This window comes from Homo sapiens, chromosome 1 (assembly GCF_000001405.40).
Source record: "Homo sapiens chromosome 1, GRCh38.p14 Primary Assembly".
NCBI lineage: Eukaryota > Metazoa > Chordata > Mammalia > Primates > Hominidae > Homo > Homo sapiens.
The window spans coordinates 85739923-85762382 of record NC_000001.11 but is presented as its reverse complement, the minus strand read 5'-3'; the positions used below and the strand labels follow the sequence as shown (position 1 = coordinate 85762382).

Sequence of the window (22460 nt, the reverse complement as noted above, 5' to 3'; positions counted from 1 at the left end):
CTATGTATTGTTTGTTCTAGCTATCACAGTATATTTAGGATTAACAGCTTTGGCAATACAAGATGCTTAATACTAAGTCAAGCATGGTGTCAACATTATCCAAAACTTAGCTGAAGATAAGTGTTGCTTTGCCATCTTTTAACCGTAATTGGAGTTGACTCAATATAGTCTTAACATTTAGCTGAACATCTAAGTTACTTTTGAACAGATGTACAGGGCCTTTGAGCATTTTTAACAGTAATTATTGCTTCGCTTTGAAAAATGTCAACATAACTTTTGACATTTTGCGATACACCTTTTCACTTTTCTAATTTCTAAATTAATACTAATTAATTTTAACATCATTCATTCATTTAATTATCAATAAAAATGGAGAAGTATTATTTTGGAGAGATTTTCAGGTGAACTCAACAGGAGTTAGTAACCAGTTTACAGGTAGATAAAGGAAATTAATGTGTCTAAGAACACCGAAGTTTCTATATTTGATGATTAGGTGGATGGTAGTTAGAAATAACAGGAAAAACATCTTTAGACAATACTAATATTTTAAAATGTTACATTTATAATAGTTTATTAAAATGAGTAAATTCAGTTTCTAATAATATCGATAAACAGGAAAATAAATATCCAGCTTGTTTATGAATATGGATGATTGCTAAGTACCACAGCATATAACTTTAGAATACTAAAACAATTTTAAATTGTATGACTTGCCTGGCACGAAAGGCAGTTACAGAGGTTGAATATTAGTTATCTTGCTTATACCCAACCAAAAGTATAATATATAGGTCTTGTGTTTGTCTCCATTTCTTCCAGGGTCCTCAAGGACCAAGAGGTCAACCAGGGCCTCCAGTGAGTTGGTTTTCATTTATATCTGTTTACCATTGATGCTTATATGTTTGCCTGGTTTAAGATGTCTACTAAATAAATGTGTATTTTTTTTAATTTGCTGTGTTCTAGGGTCCACCTGGAGCACCAGGCCCAAGAGTAAGTTTGCTTGGTTTGATTTTGTTTTGTTTTATCTTAGTATGTCATATTAACTTTTTAAATATCCTTCTGTTAACTCTCTATTAAAAGGTATCCCTTTTGGATACCTCTGTTCTTTTTTGCTAACCTGATACAGGGCTGGCCCAGCTACACAAACATGAAATCCAAGCCTCAGACTTCTTATTTATAAAATGGAGATGGTATCTCCTGCTTTCTTGGGTGGTTTCAAGTGTTGAGTAAGAAGTAAAGCATGCAGCACATTGTATAATACATAATAAGCACTTGAAAAACTAATTATCTCCATTTCTTCCTAATTCTACATCTTCACTCTCCTTTTTTAAATGTTCTCTTTTTGCCAGCCAGGGTTATCCACTTCTTTGATTTACATGAAGTAAATCAAATCTTTCTCAGTTGCTGGTAACTCTGGAAGCCATCAGACTTCTCTTATGTTTGCTTATTATCTAACTACTATGACCCAAAACTTGCTACCCTTATCTCTGAGGCAATGTTTATGTTGCTTCTGCTATTCTCATGCCCTCTGATATTCTAAGTTTGATTTTCCTTATGCTTTGTATCCACTCTCATATTCCGCAGTCTGTTTGTCTTTCTGCTCCCTATGAAAGGTCTCTCTCCATCTGCAACCTCACCCACACCCCACTCCTCCAGCCTCCTGGTCAAATACAGTGGTCCTTGGTCACATTTTCTGCCTAACATGGATCTACTGTTCGCTACACCATCCCAAACAATAGTCAGTCCTATGCCATTTAAGCCTTCTTATTTCACATGCTGCTCTGATGTCATTTAGATCTCTGCTAGTTCTAGGTGGTGGTTTCCTGTGGTCTACTCTCAGCAGATCAGGAACTCTTCATTTCCCTCAGCTTTTCATTGGGGCAAGGAATAACTTCCAGGCAAAGTGCCACAAGGAAGACTATCCCCTTGAAAACAAGAGACCCATTTATCTGTGATTTTAAAAAATCACTTCCCCTTTCTGGCCTTCTGACTAACATGGAGGGAAACTCTCCCTGTGTGGACATCAATAAGAATGTCTTTCGGCCGGGCATGGTGGCTTGTACCTGTAATCCCAGCACTTTGGGAGGCTGAAGTGGGTGTATTACCTGAGGTCAGGAGTTTGAGACCAGCCTGGCCAACATGGCAAAACCCCAGGCATGGTGGCACATGCCTGTAATCCCAGCTACTCAGGAGGCTGAGGCAAGAGAATCACCTGAGCCCGGGAGGCAGAGGTTGCAGTGAGCCGAGATCATGCCACCGCACTCCAGCCTGGCAGAGCAAGACTCTGTCTCAAAAAAACAAACAAACAAACAAAAAAAAAAAAAAAACAATGTCTTTCTCCAAGTCTTCAAATCACTTTCCACTTGTTTATTCTTCCTTTCCTCCTGGATCCCCACAATGCATGGATTACAAGTACCCTCATTAATTGCCTTCCCAAATTATAATGACTTTGATATATCATAGCTCCCTTCTCAAGAAAGAACAAGTTCAAGTTCTAAAGGATCATACGTCATTGGCAAATTAAAGAAATGTTTAGTGAAAATTTTCACATTTAAGTGCCAAACTGTGTGACACATATCCCTGTCTCACTTGGAAAATACATGTGTTCCTACACAGCCAAAATAGAGTAAGACATGAGAGGTTTTTGCTCAGAGCAAAATGTGGATTAAAATATGTATACACTTTGAGAAATTAATCAGGAAGATTAAGTAAGAAAATACGTGTGTTGAATACATTATAACTACTCAATAAATGCTAGTTTCTTTGTTTCCTTCTTTTCTCCCTTTTCCTCCTTTCTGTATTCCTTCTTGGCCAATATGAAAACAGATTTCCATATATAATGCTGTTTTCCTGGAACTTGCAGAGTCCGTTGTAGGAAAATAACATTGAGGATAAGATTTCTAGAGCAGACATCTAAATGACAATAAGACACCTACACATTCTTTCTAAAGTCAGCCTCCATGAAACTTTTCTTAATTCCATTCCCTCATCACACTACAAGATAGAACTGATCACTTCCCCTTCTTTGTTCATACTCATTTATTTTCATGTTTGTCTTTTCTATTATATTGTGAACCCTCTGAAGACAGAGACTACTTTTTAAATTCTCCTTCCATTTAAGCTCTTAATAAATGTTGAGTGCATGCTTGCATGAATACAAAAAAGGCAACATCTCAGGAAATTTTAGTGGGAATCTTCTAAACTAGATTTCACTTGGAGAGAAACAATGTCTATAAAAAATTAGACTCATAGAACTAGAGGTCCTCTCAGTAATTATTAAGCAGTTATTTCAGACTTTGAGTTGGGATTCATTGGTCAGCGGATCATAAGACCAATTTAGTGAGTCTCATTCAGGATTATTTTTAGAGCAAATGAAATAGAATAGAAAAATATTGGGGAGGGACTGCTTAATAGATATGGAGTTTCTTTTTGGGTGATTAAAATGCTCTGAAATTCTATCATGGTAGTGGTTGAACAACGTTGTGAATCTACTAAAGACAACTGAATTGTATATTTTTAAATGACTAAAATAGTGAATTTTATGTTATATAAATTTTACCTCAATTTAAAAAAATCAGTACATCATCATCAGTAAGAATAAATATGGTTTTACAGAACTTTTTAAGGTTGAATATATGTATGTTTGTGTGAATTTTGTCATGATGTAAAAATGTATTTCTTACTGTGGGTCAAGATAAGTATGAAAACTTCTAATCCAGTCCAGCCACATCTTTATAAGACCTATGAAACTAAAGTAACTTGCTCAGTTCTCTAAAGTGGAATAGCTAAAAGGAAATGTTTCAGGAAAAGGAATATGTATTGATGGTGAATTTGAATGTGAGGATAGGGTAATGACCAGACCTCAGTGTGTATGGTAAGGTATTTAGAAATGAACACAGAAGTATGCCATATGATGTCAAAGTTAACCAGAAATGATTAGTAGAATAAAGGGAAGAACAGGGTGTCTATATGTGTCTGTGTTTGGTGTATATGATGGAAATAACAATCGTTAAAAATCATTAAGTGAGAGAAAGAATTCCCAACTGATGTATTCCAATTAATGGGTCAACTGTAGAACCTGGATTGGTGAATTAAGAAGTGGCTGCTGCTATTATATACTGGTTCTCTAGAATCAGCAAAAACTTCTATCATAAAGAGGGGTGTGACCTGAAATGAGTTCCTATTTGGTCAGCATTTTCACCATCCAGTGATCTTGAAACTTTAGACATATGAAAAAATAACGCTTCTCTTCAAAATACTGAGGTGCCTAGACTAGATCTGCTCTTCACTCGAATGATTTGGAGAGAATTATGAAGATTACATTCTCCCAAAGTATAATGAATCCTGCTGTCTAATTCCCCTCATTATTTCACACTCACTAGTCACAACATATAATCAATCTTTATTCTCTGTTTTCTATTTTACATGCATGTTTTTGTAAATATTGAGTGATTTCCATGTAAGAATATGTTCTCTCTAACTAGAGTGCCTGGAAGAAGTTATTTTTCCTTATTTGATCCCCTCACTGCACTTAATGAGAGATTTATACTTCGATGTGGGCACTTAGATGTGACTGAATGACTTCCCAGGCAAATCCTCTTAATACAATTTCTCTGACCCTGCCTTTCTTAAAGTCTGCCTGTGGGGAAAAAGTCAATAAATTCAACAAATTGATTGACTGCTATGTGCCAGTCATGAGCTAGGCTTTGTGAATACCTTGGGGATTCTAGGAATATGGAGATTGTCAAGAAAATTTTTGAGTGGCCAAGTGTTATGAAATTTCTTTTCTTTCTAATACCTGTTGGGAAAAAAAATGCCTTTTTATTGAGTTGTCGCCTGCACTGATGGTGTTTAAAATTGCTGGTACCTTAGCATGACTAAAGCATCAAACTCTACACTACTAATCTACTAATAGTCATTGTATTATTTACTGCCACACACAGAAAATCATAGTGTTGCCAACTAAGAATATCCTGTGATTTATTCATCTTGCCCTTTGTTGGTGAGCATCTTTTTTTCAGTTTTTTTAATTACACATAGTACAAATGTCCTGTCCATATACATATCATTTTGTAGAATACCTAGAGGACAAATTGCCAGAAGTAGGATAGTTTGGTCTAAGGGATAATGAGCATATTTACTTGTTATTTTTAATGTTGGCAAGATATACATAACAAAATTTTGCCATTTTAACTGTTTTTAAGTGTAGAGTTCAGTGGTATTAAGTACATTCACATTGCTGTGCAACCATTACTACCCATGCCTAGAACTTTTTTTGTCTTCCAAAACTGAAACTCTGTACCCATTAAGTAATAACTCTCAATTCCTCCCTTTACCCAGCCCCTGCAACCACCGTTCTACTTTCTGTCTCTATGAATTCGACTACTCTAGGTACCTCATATAAGTTAAGTCATACAATATTTGTCTTTTTGTGACTGGCTTATTTCACTTAACGTAATATCTTCAGGGTTCATCTCTTTTGTAAGCGTATATTCGAATTTTATTTATTTTCAAAGCTGAATAATAGTCCATGTAATACATATACCAGATTTTGTTTATCCAAATGGACACTTACGTTGCTTCTACCTTTTGGCTATTGTGAATAATGCTGCTATAAACATTGCTGTACAAATATCTGTTGGAGTCTTCACTTTCAATTCATTTGGGTATATACCTAGAAATGAAACTGTTGTATCATGTAGTAATTCTATGTCTAATTTTTGAGAAACTGCCATACTGTTTTCCATAGCTGCCACACACTTTACATTACCACCAGCAGTGCACAAGATTCCAGTTTCTCCACATCCTCACCAACACTTGTTATTTTCTGGTTTATTTTTTCTATAACAGCCATCCTAATGGTTATGAAGCGGTATCTCATTGTGGTTTTCACATGCATTTTCCTAACGATTTGTGGTGTTGAGCATATTTTCATGTGTTTATTAGACATTTGTATTTTTTTTTTTTGAGACAGACTCTTGCTGTGTTGCCCAAGCTGGAGTGCAGTGGTGCGATCTCAGCTCACGGCAACCTCTGCCTCCCAGGTTCAAGTGATTCTCCTGCCTCAGCCTCCTGAGTAGCTGGGATTACAGGTGCCCTCCACCACGCCTGGCTAATTTTGTATTTTTAGTAGAGCTGGGATTTCACCATGTTGGCCAGGCTGGTCTCGAACTCCTGACCTCAAGTGATCTGCCTACCTCGGCCTCCCAAAGTACTGGGATTACAGGTGTGAGCCACTGTGCCCAGCCTCTTCTTTAGAGAAATGTCTATTCAAGTTATTTGCCCATTTTTTGAATTGGGTTGCCTTTTTTTTTTTTTTTTTTTTTTTGGTTGTTAGTAAGTTGTAGAAGCTCTTTAAATATTCTAGATATTAATCCTTTACCAGAAAGACAATTTGCAGTTATTTTTTTCCATCCGTTGGGTTGCCTTTTCACTCTCTTTATAGTGTCCCTTGATGCACAGAAGTTTTTTTTTTTTTCTGATATAGTCTAATTTATCTACTTTGTTCTCTTGTTGACTGTGCTCTTGGTATCATTCCAAGAAATCATTGCAAAATCAAATGTTATCAAGCTTTTCCTATTTGCTTCTAATAATTTTATAGTTTTACCTCTTATGTTCAAGTCTTTGATTCATTTTGAGTTCATGGTATAACTCATGATGTAAGTTTTTTTGTACTTGATGTAAGTTAAGGGTCTAACTTCATTCTATCCCATGTGGATATTCCATTTTTCCAGCACTGTTTGTTGAAAAGACCATCCTTTCTTCATTGAATGGTCTTAGCACTCTTGTTGAAAATAATTTGATCATAAATGAGAAGGTTTATTTCTGGACTCTCTATTATATTTCATTCTTTATGTCTGTCTTTATGACAGTACCAACTGTTTTGATTACAGCAGCTTTATAGTAAGTTTTGAAATCAGGAAACATGATGCCTCTAACAACTTCTTTTTTCAAAATTATTTTGGCTACTTGGGGTCTATACTATATGTTATATTTACTATATTGTAACTTCTACTACTGCTCTTTATTTCTTCAGGTGGATTCAAGTTTCTGCCTAGTATCCTTTACTTTAGGCCTGAATGACTCCCTATAATATTTTTCTAGGGAAGGTATGTTAGTGATAAATTGTCTTGGTTTTTATTTAACTGGGAATATATTAATATTTCCTTCATTTTTAAAGGAGAGTTTTACTGGAAATAGAATTCTTGGCTGACTGTCTTTTCTTTTAGCACCCTGAATATATTATCCTACTGCCTGCTCACCTTTATGGTTTTTTATGGGAAATTAGCTGTTAATCTGGTTGAAGATCTCTCGGACATGATGAGCTTCCTCTCTGCTTTCAGAATTCTCTCTTTGTCTATAGCATTAGATAGTTTGATTATGATGTGTCTGGGAAAGTTTGTGGAACTTCTCGGATGTGTAGGTTAATATTTTTGCATCAGATTTGTGATGTTTTCAGCCATGATCTCTTTATATATTCTTTGTGCCCCCTTTTCTCTCTCCTCCCCTTCTGAGACTCTCATCATGCATATGTTGATAAGCTTGACAGTGTCCTACAGATCTCTTAAGTCTCTGTTCACTTTTCTTCATTTTTTTTTCCACTCCTCAAACAGGATAATCTCAATAAACCTGTCTTCAAGTTAACTGGTGCTTACTTCTGCCTATGGAAATCTACTGTAGAGCCTATCTAGTAAATTTTTATTTCAGCTATTGTACTTTTTAACTTCAGAATTTCTATTTGGTTCTTTTTTCTATAATTTATGTGCTTTTATTATATTCTCTACTTAGTAAGACATCTTTCTCATACTGTCCTTTAGTTCTTTTTTTTTTTTTTTAATTTTTTTTTTTATTATACTCTAAGTTTTAGGGTACATGTGCACATTGTGCAGGTTAGTTACATATGTATACATGTGCCATGCTGGTGCGCTGCACCCACTAACGTGTCATCTAGCATTAGGTATATCTCCCAATGCTATCCCTCCCCCCTCCCCCGACCCCACCACAGTCCCCAGAGTGTGATATTCCCCTTCCTGTGTCCAAGTGATCTCATTGTTCAATTCCCACCTATGAGTGAGAATATGCGGTGTTTGGTTTTTTGTTCTTGCAATAGTTTACTGAGAATGATGGTTTCCAATTTCATCCATGTCCCTACAAAGGACATGAACTCATCATTTTTTATGGCTGCATAGTATTCCATGGTGTATATGTGCCACATTTTCTTAATCCAGTCTATCATTGTTGGACATTTGGGTTGGTTCCAAGTCTTTGCTATTGTGAATAGTGCCGCAATAAACATACGTGTGCATGTGTCTTTATAGCAGCATGATTTATAGTCCTTTGGGTATATACCCAGTAATGGGATTGCTGGGTCAAATGGTATTTCTAGTTCTAGATCCCTGAGGAATCGCCACACTGACTTCCACAATGGTTGAACTAGTTTACAGTCCCACCAACAGTGTAAAAGTGTTCCTATTTCTCCACATCCTCTCCAGCACCTGTTGTTTCCTGACTTTTTAATGATTGCCATTCTAACTGGTGTGAGATGATATCTCATAGTGGTTTTGATTTGCATTTCTCTGATGGCCAGTGATGATGAGCATTTCTTCATGTGTTTTTTGGCTGCATAAATGTCTTCTTTTGAGAAGTGTCTGTTCATGTCCTTCGCCCACTTTTTGATGGGGTTGTTTGTTTTTTTCTTGTAAATTTGTTTGAGTTCATTGTAGATTCTGGATATTAGCCCTTTGTCAGATGAGTAGGTTGCGAAAATTTTCTCCCATTTTGTAGGTTGCCTGTTCACTCTGATGGTAGTTTCTTTTGCTGTGCAGAAGCTCTTTAGTTTAATTAGATCCCATTTGTCAATTTTGGCTTTTGTTGCCATTGCTTTTGGTGTTTTGGACATGAAGTCCTTGCCCACGCCTATGTCCTGAATGGTAATGCCTAGGTTTTCTTCTAGGGTTTTTATGGTTTTAGGTCTAACGTTTAAATCTTTAATCCATCTTGAATTGATTTTTGTATAAGGTGTAAGGAAGGGATCCAGTTTCAGCTTTCTACATATGGCTAGCCAGTTTTCCCAGCACCATTTATTAAATAGGGAATCCTTTCCCCATTGCTTGTTTTTCTCAGGTTTGTCAAAGATCAGATAGTTGTAGGTAAGCGGCGTTATTTCTGAGGGCTCTGTTCTGTTCCATTGATCTATATCTCTGTTTTGGTACCAGTACCATGCTGTTTTGGTTACTGTAGCCTTGTAGTATAGTTTGAAGTCAGGTAGTGTGATGCCTCCAGCTTTGTTCTTTTGGCTTAGGATTGACTTGGCGATGCGGGCTCTTTTTTGGTTCCATATGAACTTTAAAGTAGTTTTTTCCAATTCTGTGAAGAAAGTCATTGGTAGCTTGATGGGGATGGCATTGAATCTGTAAATTACCTTGGGCAGTATGGCCATTTTCACGATATTGATTCTTCCTACCCATGAGCATGGAATGTTCTTCCATTTGTTTGTGTCCTCTTTTATTTCCTTGAGCAGTGGTTTGTAGTTCTCCTTGAAGAGGTCCTTCACATCCCTTGTAAGTTGGATTCCTAGGTATTTTATTCTCTTTGAAGCAATTGTGAATGGGAGTTCACTCATGATTTGGCTCTCTGTTTGTCTGTTGTTGGTGTATAAGAATCCTTGTGATTTTTGTACATTGATTTTGTATCCTGAGACTTTGCTGAAGTTGCTTATCAGCTTAAGGAGATTTTGGGCTGAGACAATGGGGTTTTCTAGATAAACAATCATGTCGTCTGCAAACAGGGACAATTTGACTTCCTCTTTTCCTAATTGAATACCCTTTATTTCCTTCTCCTGCCTGATTGCCCTGGCCAGAACTTCCAACACTATGTTGAATAGGAGCGGTGAGAGAGGGCATCCCTGTCTTGTGCCAGTTTTCAAAGGGAATGCTTCCAGTTTTTGCCCATTCAGTATGATATTGGCTGTGGGTTTGTCATAGATAGCTCTTATTATTTTGAAATACGTCCCATCAATACCTAATTTATTGAGAGTTTTTAGCATGAAGGGTTGTTGAATTTTGTCAAAGGCTTTTTCTGCATCTATTGAGATAATCATGTGGTTTTTGTCTTTGGCTCTGTTTATATGCTGGATTACATTTATTGATTTGCGTATATTGAACCAGCCTTGCATCCCAGGGATGAAGCCCACTTGATCATGGTGGATAAGCTTTTTGATGTGCTGCTGGATTCGGTTTGCCAGTATTTTATTGAGGATTTTTGCATCAATGTTCATCAAGGATATTGGTCTAAAATTCTCTTTTTTGGTTGTGTCTCTGCCCGGCTTTGGTATCAGAATGATGCTGGCCTCATAAAATGAGTTAGGGAGGATTCCCTCTTTTTCTATTGATTGGAATAGTTTCAGAAGGAATGGTACCAGTTCCTCCTTGTACCTCTGCTAGAATTCGGCTGTGAATCCATCTGGTCCTGGACTCTTTTTGGTTGGTAAACTATTGATTATTGCCACAATTTCAGAGCCTGTTATTGGTCTATTCAGAGTTTCAACTTCTTCCTGGTTTAGTCTTGGGAGAGTGTATGTGTCGAGGAATGTATCCATTTCTTCTAGATTTTCTAGTTTATTTGCGTAGAGGTGTTTGTAGTATTCTCTGATGGTAGTTTGTATTTCTGTGGGATCGGTGGTGATATCCCCTTTATCATTTTTTATTGTGTCTATTTGATTCTTCTCTCTTTTTTTCTTTATTAGTCTTGCTAGCGGTCTATCAATTTTGTTGATCCTTTCAAAAAACCAGCTCCTGGATTCATTGATTTTTTGAAGGGTTTTTTGTGTCTCTATTTCCTTCAGTTCTGCTCTGATTTTAGTTATTTCTTGCCTTCTGCTAGCTTTTGAATTGTTTGCTCTTGCTTTTCTAGTTCTTTTAATTGTGATGTTAGGGTGTCAATTTTGGATCTTTCCTGCTTTCTCTTGTAGGCATTTAGTGCTATAAATTTCCCTCTACACACTGCTTTGAATGCGTCCCAGAGATTCTGGTATGTGGTGTCTTTGTTCTCGTTGGTTTCAAAGAACATCTTTATTTCTGCCTTCATTTCGTTATGTACCCAGTAGTCATTCAGGAGCAGGTTGTTCAGTTTCCATGTAGTTGAGCGGCTTTGACTGAGATTCTTAATCCTGAGTTCTAGTTTGATTGCACTGTGGTCTGAGAGATAGTTTGTTATAATTTCTGTTCTTTTACATTTGCTGAGGAGAGCTTTACTTCCAAGTATGTGGTCAATTTTGGAATAGGTGTGGTGTGGTGCTGAAAAAAATGTATATTCTGTTGATTTGGGGTGGAGAGTTCTGTAGATGTCTATTAGGTCTGCTTGGTGCAGAGCTGAGTTCAATTCCTGGGTATCCTTGTTGACTTTCTGTCTCGTTGATCTGTCTAATGTTGACAGTGGGGTGTTAAAGTCTCCCATTATTAATGTGTGGGAGTCTAAGTCTCTTTGTAGGTCACTCAGGACTTGCTTTATGAATCTGGGTGCTCCTGTATTGGGTGCATAAATATTTAGGATAGTTAGCTCCTCTTGTTGAATTGATCCCTTTACCATTATGTAATGGCCTTCTTTGTCTCTTTTGATCTTTGTTGGTTTAAAGTCTGTTTTATCAGAGACTAGGATTGCAACCCCTGCCTTTTTTTGTTTTCCATTGGCTTGGTAGATCTTCCTCCATCCTTTTATTTTGAGCCTATGTGTGTCTCTGCACGTGAGATGGGTTTCCTGAATACAGCACACTGATGGGTCTTGACTCTTTATCCAACTTGCCAGTCTGTGTCTTTTAATTGCAGAATTTAGTCCATTTATATTTAAAGTTAATATTGTTATGTGTGAATTTGATCCTGTCATTATGATGTTAGCTGGTGATGTTGCTCGTTAGTTGATGCAGTTTCTTCCTAGTCTCGATGGTCTTTACATTTTGGCATGATTTTGCAGCGGCTGGTACCGGTTGTTCCTTTCCATGTTTAGCGCTTCCTTCAGGAGCTCTTTTAGGGCAGGCCTGGTGGTGACAAAATCTCTCAGCATTTGCTTGTCTATAAAGTATTTTATTTCTCCTTCACTTATGAAGCTTAGTTTGGCTGGATATGAAATTCTGGGTTGAAAATTCTTTTCTTTAAGAATGTTGAATATTGGCCCCCACTCTCTTCTGGCTTGTAGGGTTTCTGCCGAGAGATCCGCTGTTAGTCTGATGGGCTTTCCTTTGAGGGTAACCCGACCTTTCTCTCTGGCTGCCCTTAACATTTTTTCCTTCATTTCAACTTTGGTGAATCTGACAATTATGTGTCTTGGAGTTGCTCTTCTCAAGGAGTATCTTTGTGGCGTTCTCTGTATTTCCTGAATCTGAACGTTGGCCTGCCTTGCTAGATTGGGGACGTTCTCCTGGATAATATCCTGCAGAGTGTTTTCCAACTTGGTTCCATTCTCCACATCACTTTCAGGTACACCAATCAGACGTAGATTTGGTCTTTTCACATAGTCCCATATTTCTTGGAGGCTTTGCTCATTTCTTTTTGTTCTTTTTTCTCTAAACTTCCCTTCTCGCTTCATTTCATTCATTTCATCTTCCATTGCTGATACCCTTTCTTCCAGTTGATCGCATCAGCTCCTGAGGCTTCTGCATTCTTCACGTAGTTCTCGAGTCTTGGTTTTCAGCTCCATCAGCTCCTTTAAGCACTTCTCTGTATTGGTTATTCTAGTTATACATTCTTCTAAATTTTTTTCAAAGTTTTCAACTTCTTTGCCTTTGGTTTGAATGTCCTCCCGTAGCTCAGAGTAATTTGATCGTCTGAAGCCTTCTTCTCTCAGCTCGTCAAAATCATTCTCCATCCAGCTTTGTTCTGTTGCTGGTGAGGAACTGCGTTCCTTTGGAGGAGGAGAGGCGCTCTGCGTTTTAGAGTTTCCAGTTTTTCTGTTCTGTTTTTTCCCCATCTTTGTGGTTTTATCTACTTTTGGTCTTTGATGATGGTGATGTACAGATGGGTTTTTGGTGTAGATGTCCTTTCTGGTTGTTAGTTTTCCTTCTAACAGACAGGACCCTCAGCTGCAGGTCTGTTGGAATACCCTGCTGTGTGAGGTGTCAGTGTGCCCCTGCTGGGGGGTGCCTCCCAGTTAGGCTGCTCGGGGGTCAGGGGTCAGGGACCCACTTGAGGAGGCAGTCTGCCCGTTCTCAGATCTCCAGCTGCGTGCTGGGAGAACCACTGCTCTCTTCAAAGCTGTCAGACAGGGACACTTAAGTCTGCAGAGGTTACTGCTGTCTTTTTGTTTGTCTGTGCCCTGCCCCCAAAGGTGGAGCCTACAGAGGCAGGCAGGCCTCCTTGAGCTGTGGTGGGCTCCACCCAGTTCGAGCTTCCTGGCTGCTTTGTTTACCTAAGCAAGCCTGGGCAATGGCGGGCGCCCCTCCCCCAGCCTCGTTGCCGCCTTGCAGTTTGATCTCAGACTGCTGTGCTAGCAATCAGTGAGATTCCGTGGGCGTAGGACCCTCTGAGCCAGGTGTGGGATATAGTCTCGTGGTGCGCCGTTTCTTAAGCCGGTCTGAAAAGCGCAATATTCGGGTGGGAGTGACCCGATTTTCCAGGTGCGTCCGTCACCCCTTTCTTTGACTCGGAAAGGGAACTCCCTGACCCCTTGCGCTTCCCAGGTGAGGCAATGCCTCGCCCTGCTTCGGCTCGCGCACAGTGCGCACACACACTGGCCTGCGCCCACTGTCTGGCACTCCCTAGTGAGATGAACCCGGTACCTCAGATGGAAATGCAGAAATCACCCGTCTTCTGCGTGGCTCACGCTGGGAGCTGTAGACCGGAGCTGTTCCTATTCGGCCATCTTGGCTCCTCCCTCTGTCCTTTAGTTCTAAAGACATGGTTTTATTTCATTTTTTAACTTGCCTAAGAGAGAATTCTGGAAGGCTATTATTCCACCACTTTTGCTGTCTCCTAGATTTCTTATCTTCTTTAAATATCTTTTTAATATTTCGTAGATGAAATGGAAGGACATATAAAGTACATATAGTGCACACTGTAGTGATTGCTTCAAAAGCACTGTGCAGCTATTTGAGTTGCAAACCCAACTAGCCAGTTTTATCATAGAGTACCATTTTTTATTGACAGACTACCAGCATTATTAAGACATGAGTAGTTCACAGATATTTTCTTGAAAATGAATGAAGTTAGCCTTCCATTTCAAGGAAAACAACTGACAGAATTTGATGCCAGTGAGAAATTTCAAGCTCTCAAGCAAAAATAAAAATTAGGGAAAACATGTATTTATCACTGAGGATTTGACAGATTCCCAGTACTTATGTTTTCCTGATAAGTAACATTATGTTTTCCTAATGATGTTAACAAATGTAATTTTTGACATTAAGGAATGAGCTGTATCTGTGTTTGGAAGACCTGCATAATTCCATAAATCAGTATTTTCAGAATGATCAATATATTATGTTAATAAAATCATGTATAAGCAAAAGACCTATGAAAGTATAAAACAGACCAATGGATTTTAGTATAAAAGTACAAAACGTTCATTGAGGTGGGTTCAGTTTTCCCACAAAAACTAACCTTTAAGAAACTACCACTTATCAAGTTTTGGTATAAGGTATAATATGAAAGAAGAAAATCCATAATTATTTGAAAAACACGACTTAAATACTTTTCTTTTTTCCTACTACATATCTCTATTAGGCTGGGTTTTCTTCACAACTAATTGAATACAAAAACAAATATGAGAATTTAGCTGTAATCTATTAATCCAGACATTACAGAAATGCACAAAAGTGTAAAACTGGGTGACCCTTCTCATTAATTTTTTTGTTTTGGAAAATATAGTTAATTTTTATAAAAATATTTATATTAACATATAATGGGTTTGTTGAAATTTTAAAGCAATTGACACATGAATAGTTTTAAAATTTATTTTGGTTTCTACTATAGTCAATATCAAAAGTTGGCCGGGCACGGTGGCTCATACCTGTAATCCCAGCACTTTGGGAGGCCAAGGCGGGCAGATCACCTGAGGTCAGGAGTTTGAGACCAGCCTGGCCAACATGGTGAAACTCCATCTCTACCAAAAATACAAAAATTAGCTGGGTGTGTTGTCACAAGCCTGTAGTCACAGCTACTTGGGAGGCTGAGAGGCAGGAGAATCGCTTGAACCTGGGAAGCGGAGGTTGCAGTGAGCCGAGATCGCACCACTGCACTTCAGCCTGGGTGACAGAGCGAGACTCCATCTCAAATTAAAAAAAAAAAAAAAAAAAAAAAGTTATAATTCACATAAACAAAAAATTTGTAAGGCCTCTAATAATAAAGGAATCCTTTATTAAAAGTGCAAAAGGATTCTGATTCTGAAGAGTTTGAGAACCACTATGCTAGGTTTTCTAATTAAAACCCATAATCACCAGCAGGGGACCAAGTGAACAACATAAAGGTGGCTATGGTTTAGCCCTTAATTCAGTTTCCCATATTTAGTGCCAATATTTTTGTGTGACCCATATCCAAAATCTGCTCATTCACGCAAGCAGGATGGTCATAATTATTTAATCTGCAGAGAATATTTTAGGTTTACCCTCTTTGCTACTTGAATAGTCCATGCTCCTTCTGTCTCATGGCCTTTGTGCCAGGTTGCTGCTTCTGCCTGGAAAGCTCTCCTACCCCTTCTCCTAACAATTCTTATTTATTCTTTGGACATCAGTTCAAATTTTACTACCTCAGGGAAGCCTTCCCTGACCTATTCCTTCCAACCTCTTACATTTTCCAGATTTGATTAATTTCTCTAATTTCTCTCATAGTTTCGTGCACTTTTCTTTCATAGCATGTATCTCAATTGGTAATTAGGATTTTTGAGATAATTTAATTATTGCCTATCTCCTCTCTAAATTTAAGTTCCATAAGGGCAAGTTTCTTTTTTCTTTACCATTTTATCCTCAATATATATCACAGTGTTTGGCAGTATATATATGCAGAATGAGTCAATTATTTTCCAGTATGAACAACACATGCTGAAGCAAGGGAGAGTACATTTTATTGATTATTCCATCATTTCAAATAGTTTTTCAAACTACCAACCATGAGCTATGAGATATCTGTTGAATACAGTTTCTATTATGCAGCCTTCAAGTAAAAAGATGTCTTCACAGTACAATGACTGAAAGAAATTAAATTGCTTGTTTCACTTACACAGATGCCATTTCCCAGAACCTTCTCCCAACTCATGCTTCATTGTTCTAAGATAATTTTTTTAAAAGAATTACAAAAAAAAAAGACTTTTACTAATGGTTGTGCTCAGTCTTTTTCTAAAAATATATTTTATTAAATGCAAGAGGAGATTGATTTCATTCTGTATTATTTCTTTTGGGACTCATGGTACATTTTCCAACTTCAGAAATTATTTTTAAAACCGCAGAAGTATCAGATTAAATTAATGTGGTGACTACCTCAGGACAGTAGTATTTTATTCTACTCCTTCCAAGAATGTAACTGTTAAAAATTGCTACAGTTATTTATTCTTCACTTTACAATTTATTAACTGAGAGGATCATATTTTATTCTCTTCCATTTGAGGAACTTTGTGTGTGTGTTTTCAGGCAACAGAAACAAATAGTTTTTCATCTGAGGACTGTAGACTCTGGTCCTATTTTAATTAGGAGACGTTTGAGATTTGGATGAAGGTGGCATATTGTCCTTTCAGATATCCAGGCAATATTTGCAAAATCTGTCTAACCGTAAGAGTTACAGAACCCCTTCAGATAATAAGTCTGGTATACTTTAACAGCAGTGCTTTCAGAATTTACAGCCTTTACTTTAGGGCACTCAGTGTTGATCTTATTGCTAATCTCAAATGGTTTTGTTTTACACAGAAGCAAATGGATATCAATGCTGCTATTCAAGCCTTGATTGAATCAAATACTGCCCTACAGATGGAGGTAACATATCTGGTTTTATTTATATTGGCACTGTCTCTCAATATACCAATTAAACAGAGAAAATTTTTGGAGGCCAAAATGTGACATTATCTCAAAGATTGTATTTAAAACAGATTGAAAATGTGAAACCATTCTCAAGAACAAAGTAAGTGATTTTGGTATAATTAAACAGAAATATATGCGTAGGATGTTTTGTAAGGAAAACATTTAAATCAAAAATTTAGTACTGTTATTTGTAAGGAATTTGGTACTATCCAAGAAAGTAGTTAAATGAGGTTAGCCATGTTTCTTAAAATGAGATATATATATTATCACTACTCATTTATTTAAACTCTAATGATTCAATGTGTAATTTAAAAAACATAATACAGTAGACATAGCAATTCTTATGTTAGCTTGAAAACTAAACTTGCAAATGTGAATTTAACCTCTTTAAAAGATTAAGGTTATTAAAGCATACACATATGCCTATGCTTAAATATAAACTGTTCTTTACATTCTACTCACAACTTACTACACATAATGGAAACACATTCTTCTCCTGCCTTGGCCCATGTTGGTCCTCAGGATTTTTTTGCTTATATAATTCTTATGATGACTTGGCAGAGCTACCAGAATACTGAAGTGACTTTAATTGACCACAGTGAAGAGATATTCAAAACCCTGAACTACCTTAGCAATTTATTGCACAGCATCAAGAATCCTCTTGGCACACGAGATAACCCAGCACGAATCTGCAAAGATTTACTTAACTGTGAACAAAAAGTATCAGATGGTAAGTTCTTGGTTACCTCAAACTCTGATAGTGAATTTCATTTCATCATTTCAGTGTGTTTGAGATTTGTAATGTGTTCACTCCAAATCATAGTTAGTTTGATAAAACCCTGGCAGAAGCCATTTTAATGTCATCAAGAATAAAATTCTCTATGAGGGAGACATGATTCTGATGTCATCCACCCCTAGCTATATCATTTGCTTATATTTTGTACTTGGTATACAGCATATTCATATTAAAAATTAAGAAAGGTAGGCCTGACCTTTGCATTAACAGACAGTAGTACTCATCAGAACTTGGTAAGTCAGGACTACAAAAGTTAGCAACATAAATAAATATATTATAGCATCTCCTTCACCATACTCCCTAAAAGTCTGGGTTTTTTTTAATACAAAATGGAATTTAAATGTCGCCTTCTAGAATTGATGACCATGAAGATGGGAGCGGTTTGTCATTCTTGGAAGTGTCTAATCTCAACACAGATGCCCCGATTTCATTAGCCAGAGGTGCAAAAATGAATTTAGATTAGAACAACCAAGGAAAGGTTTTAAATCAAGAGGAGTAAGTCATCAGTTAAACAGGGGAAACCTTGTCTGCTACAAACTCTAGTTTTAACACAATGACATGTTTGAAAAAAAAATGTATGATTTGAAAAGTGCTGATGTGAAAAATGCTGATTTGAAAAAGCTATGTTATGTTATTCTGTGGTCATTTTAATTTTGTTTGTACATACACATCTCACATACATGCACTCACACACACACAAACACGCACATACACACATGTCCAAAACATCTGCTTCCGTTCTAGAACTTCAATGAAAACATTCATTTTGTTTACATTAATCAAACACTTAACTTCTAAAGATATTTTTCTGCCCTAGATTAATATAAAAACTAAAATAATACTAAAATTGTAGTTGCCTATAATAATTCTCAGCTTGATTTTTTCCCATATTTGAGGGCATTAAAGTGTAATTCTGTAGAATTGAAAGGAACAAAGATCTTGTAAGACATACAAAATTAGTATGAAATGTAATTCAAAGTCTACCTTCCTTATAAGAGAAATAGCTAAATGGTGTGGATTGTGCAGTGTTCAAAAAATCTTTACGCCCCCCAAATACTTTCATCACTAGGATATCATAAGTGCTATAAGGAAAAACAAAACAGCAGGGTAGGGAGATTTGATAGGAAGTGGAGCACAAGATACAATTTTTAAATAGAATGATCAGATAAGGCATCTATGAGAATGTGACACTTGGGTGATATCAGAAGGAGGTAAGAGAGCAAGCCACAAGAAATCTAGAGAAAGAGCTTTCCAGGCACAAAGAATAAATGCAAAAGCCCTGAGTCTTTGAGTATACCTAGCAAGTTTTAGAATTAGCAAGAAAGCCAGTATGAATGGAAGAGAGTGCATATAGGGGAGAATGATAGGAAATTAAATTAGAAAGATATCAAAAAGTCAAATTATACAAGACCCTCTAGACTACTCAGAAGTCTCTAGCTTGTACTCTTGATAAGATGGGAAGCCATTGGAAATTGCTGAGCGAAGAAGTGACATAATTTGGCTCAGATTTTTAAAATATTACTCTAGCTAATATGTTGCAAATACAATCAGGAAGACAGGGGTAGAGGTAGGGAAACCACTGAGAAGGATATTGACATAATCCAGGAGAGATGATGGTTGGTTGGACTAGAGTTGGTTGCAGGGGAAGTGGTAAAAAGTGGTTAGATTCTTGAATATGCTTTATGCTTAGCGTTCCATTATTGGAACACTAAGCATGTGGGAGTCATTTATATCCTACTTCTTAAGGTCATCACCAAGGTCTGATTGCAAAAATTCAAAAAAATTACAACCTCAGGAATAAATGGGTTAAGGTAGAGCCAGCAGTTTTTGTTGATAGATTGGATGTGGGTTATGAGAGAACTAGAATGGTAAAGGATGACTCTCAGGGTTTTTTTTTTTTTTCTGTAAAAGGGTGGGATGTTGTTAACAGGAGATGCAATTTTGGAGATAAGATCAGGAGTAAAATTTTGGATATATTTACTTTGAGATGTCTCTTAGACATTCAAGTAAGAATGTCAAGTAGGTAGTTGACTACTCAAGTTCAAGGTCAAGAAGGAGATCCTAAGTAAGGGTAAAAATTATGAAATCATTTACATTTAATTGGTGTTTAATGCCTTAAGACTGCTTAAGACTACATAGATAGTAAGTAAAGGAAGAAATGAGGTCTAGGACGGGCACAGTGGCTCATGCCTGTAATCCCAGCACTTTGGGAGGCAGAGGTGGGCAGATCATGAGGTGAAGAGATTGAGACCATCCTGGCTAACATGGTGAAACCCCATCTCTACTAAAAATACAGAAAAATTAGCCGGGTGTGGTGGCACGCACCTGTAGTCCCAGCTACTCAGGAGGCTGAGGCAGGAGAATCACTTGACCCAGGAGGCCGAGATTGCAGTGAGCTGAGATCACACCGCCACACTCCAGCCTGGCCACAGAGTGAGACTCTGTCTCAAAAGAAAAAAAAAGAAAAAAGAAATGAGGTCTAAAAACTGGATCCTAGGGTTCTCTAATGTTTAAAGATCAGGAAGGTGAGGGCGAACTAGCAAACAAAACTAAGAAGCAGCTATCACTGAGATAAGAGGCAAACTGGATGTGGTGTCCTGAAAATCAAGCAAAGAAAATGTTTGCCAGAGGAGGAGGGAGGGAAGGGATTAACTGGGTCCACGTTAAGTAAAGCAAAAACTGAGGAAGACTACTGAATTTAGCAATGCAGACATCATTAAGGACCTTCATCAAGAGCAGTTTAGAGGAATGGTAGTAGTTAAAACCTTATCAGATTTTAAGAGAAAAGGATAATGCTAGGAACTTTTCATTCCCAGTAACGAAGCACATAATTCATATTACCTGGCTAAATTAATTTTTTAAGTTAAAAGCATAAAATAAATAACAAACAGCAATGAACTTTCAAGCTGAGACTTTAAAGGAGACAGCAGAAAGTGAACCCAACATTTGGAGCTACTTTTGCCCCCAGTATGTTGAGAAGCTTGGTGGCTTCAGGAGGTAGGGGTCAAAAGTTAGAATCTGTGGCCCACCAAAGGTGAGGACTTAGACTTTCAAAGGCCTGCATTCTAGTAGTAAAGATAAACTGGAAGAAAACGAACATTCATACAGACTGTAGCTTTGCTTCACATCATCTGGATAGCTCAGAAAATCCCAAACTTTGAACTTGTATTAAAATGGTTCCAAACTGCTGGAACTCCCACATACTGTCAGAAACAAACAAAAATCTTCTATAAAAGATAACATTTTCCTAGAACTCAAACTATTTCCACAAATAATTTCAAAAATGCAGTGCCCAGCACACAATCAACAACCAAACACACAAGTTGACACAACACCATGAATGAGAACTAGTAGAAACAGCAGACAACGAAAGCAGACTCAAAAGAGAGAAAAGAAGTAGAATTTAAATCTGCAAGTATAATGAACAAGATAAGTCTTCTTTCTTTCTTTCCTTTTCTTTTCTTTTCTTTTTTTTTTTTTTGAGGCAGAGTTTCACCCCTGTGCCTAGGCTGGAGTGCAGTGGCTCGATCTCGGCTCACTGCAACCTCCGCCTTCCAGGTTCAAGCGATTCTCCAGCCTCAGCCTCCCAAGTAGCTGGGATTATAGGCGCCAGCCACGATGCCCAGCTAATTTTTTTTTTTTTTTTGTATTTTTAGAAGAGACAGGGTTTCACCGTCTTGGCCAGGCTGGTCTCAAACTGCTGACCTCGTGATCTGCCCGCCTCGGCCTCCCAAAGTGCTGGGATTACAGGCGTGAGCCACCGTGCCCGGCCTTAGGATAATTCTTCTATAGGAACACAGTTTATTCACTATAATAAGAGAGAAGGCAGGCCAGGTGCAATGGCTCATGCCTGTAATCCCAGCACTTTGGGAGACCGAGGTGGACAGATCACTTCAGGCCAACATTTTTTTCGGATCAGTTTGAGAACAGCCAGGCCAACGTGGTGAAACTTCATCTCTACTAAAAATAGAAAAATTGGCCAGCCATGGTGGAATGTGCCTGTGGTCCCAGCTACCCAGGAGGCTAAGGTGGGAGGATCTCCTGAGCCTGCAGGGGGTGGAGGTTGCAGTGAGCCAAGATCATGCCACTGCACTCCAGCCTGGGCAACAGAGCAAGAGAGAAATTCCTATTTCAAAAAGAGAGAGAAGGTAGAATATATGTGTACAAGCACAGACATGTGGGTAGATATGATAGTGGGAGTTTATATAAGTTACATAAATTTTCTTCAGATTCCTTCAGTTGTCTCATTGAAATTGGAAGCTTATCAGTTGAGGATAAGAGCGAATGAATAGGTGTAAGATAGTTAACTATCTTAGTGATAGAGGGAATAAACTCTGGAAACACCATATTACTGTCTAGCAGCTTTACAGACACATTTGAATTTGAAGGATGCCCATCACAACAGTTGTGTTTTTCTCCTACCACTTTTTTCTGTGCAGGTATAGGCACAGGTTAGGGAGAAACTTACGTAGGATTGGGGATTTATAAGACAAGTAGAGTGAAATGAGGCAGGGCAAGGGTGTAAGGAAGTTTATAAGGACATTACTATAGTAAAGGACTGTGGATTTTTAAGCTGGGTAAGAAGGGAAGTGAACATATGATCATTAGGGGCAATGAAAAAGTGATAGTAGGTCCCGATGAAAGTGAAGAATTATTGGAGTTAGGACACTAGAGGGA

At 37.7% G+C, this 22460-nt stretch overlaps 1 protein-coding gene across 19 annotated transcripts in view; it reads left to right on the top strand.

The window, feature by feature from the left end:
• Positions 1-22460, top strand: part of COL24A1 (collagen type XXIV alpha 1 chain) — a 427752-nt gene that overhangs the window by 394602 nt on the left and 10690 nt on the right. For 18 of the 19 annotated variants that reach the window (NR_146340.2, NR_146341.2, NR_146342.2 and 15 more), the window contains 4 exons: positions 817-852; positions 961-987; positions 16877-16942; positions 17549-17717. Coding sequence is in view for 13 of the 19 variants with exons in the window: in XM_047417004.1 (XP_047272960.1) it covers positions 817-852; positions 961-987; positions 16877-16942; positions 17549-17717 (298 nt within the window). In the remaining 6 variants the exon portion in view is untranslated. The remainder of the gene's footprint in view (positions 1-816; positions 853-960; positions 988-16876; positions 16943-17548; positions 17718-22460) is intronic. The other variant, NR_146345.1, reaches the window with a different exon arrangement.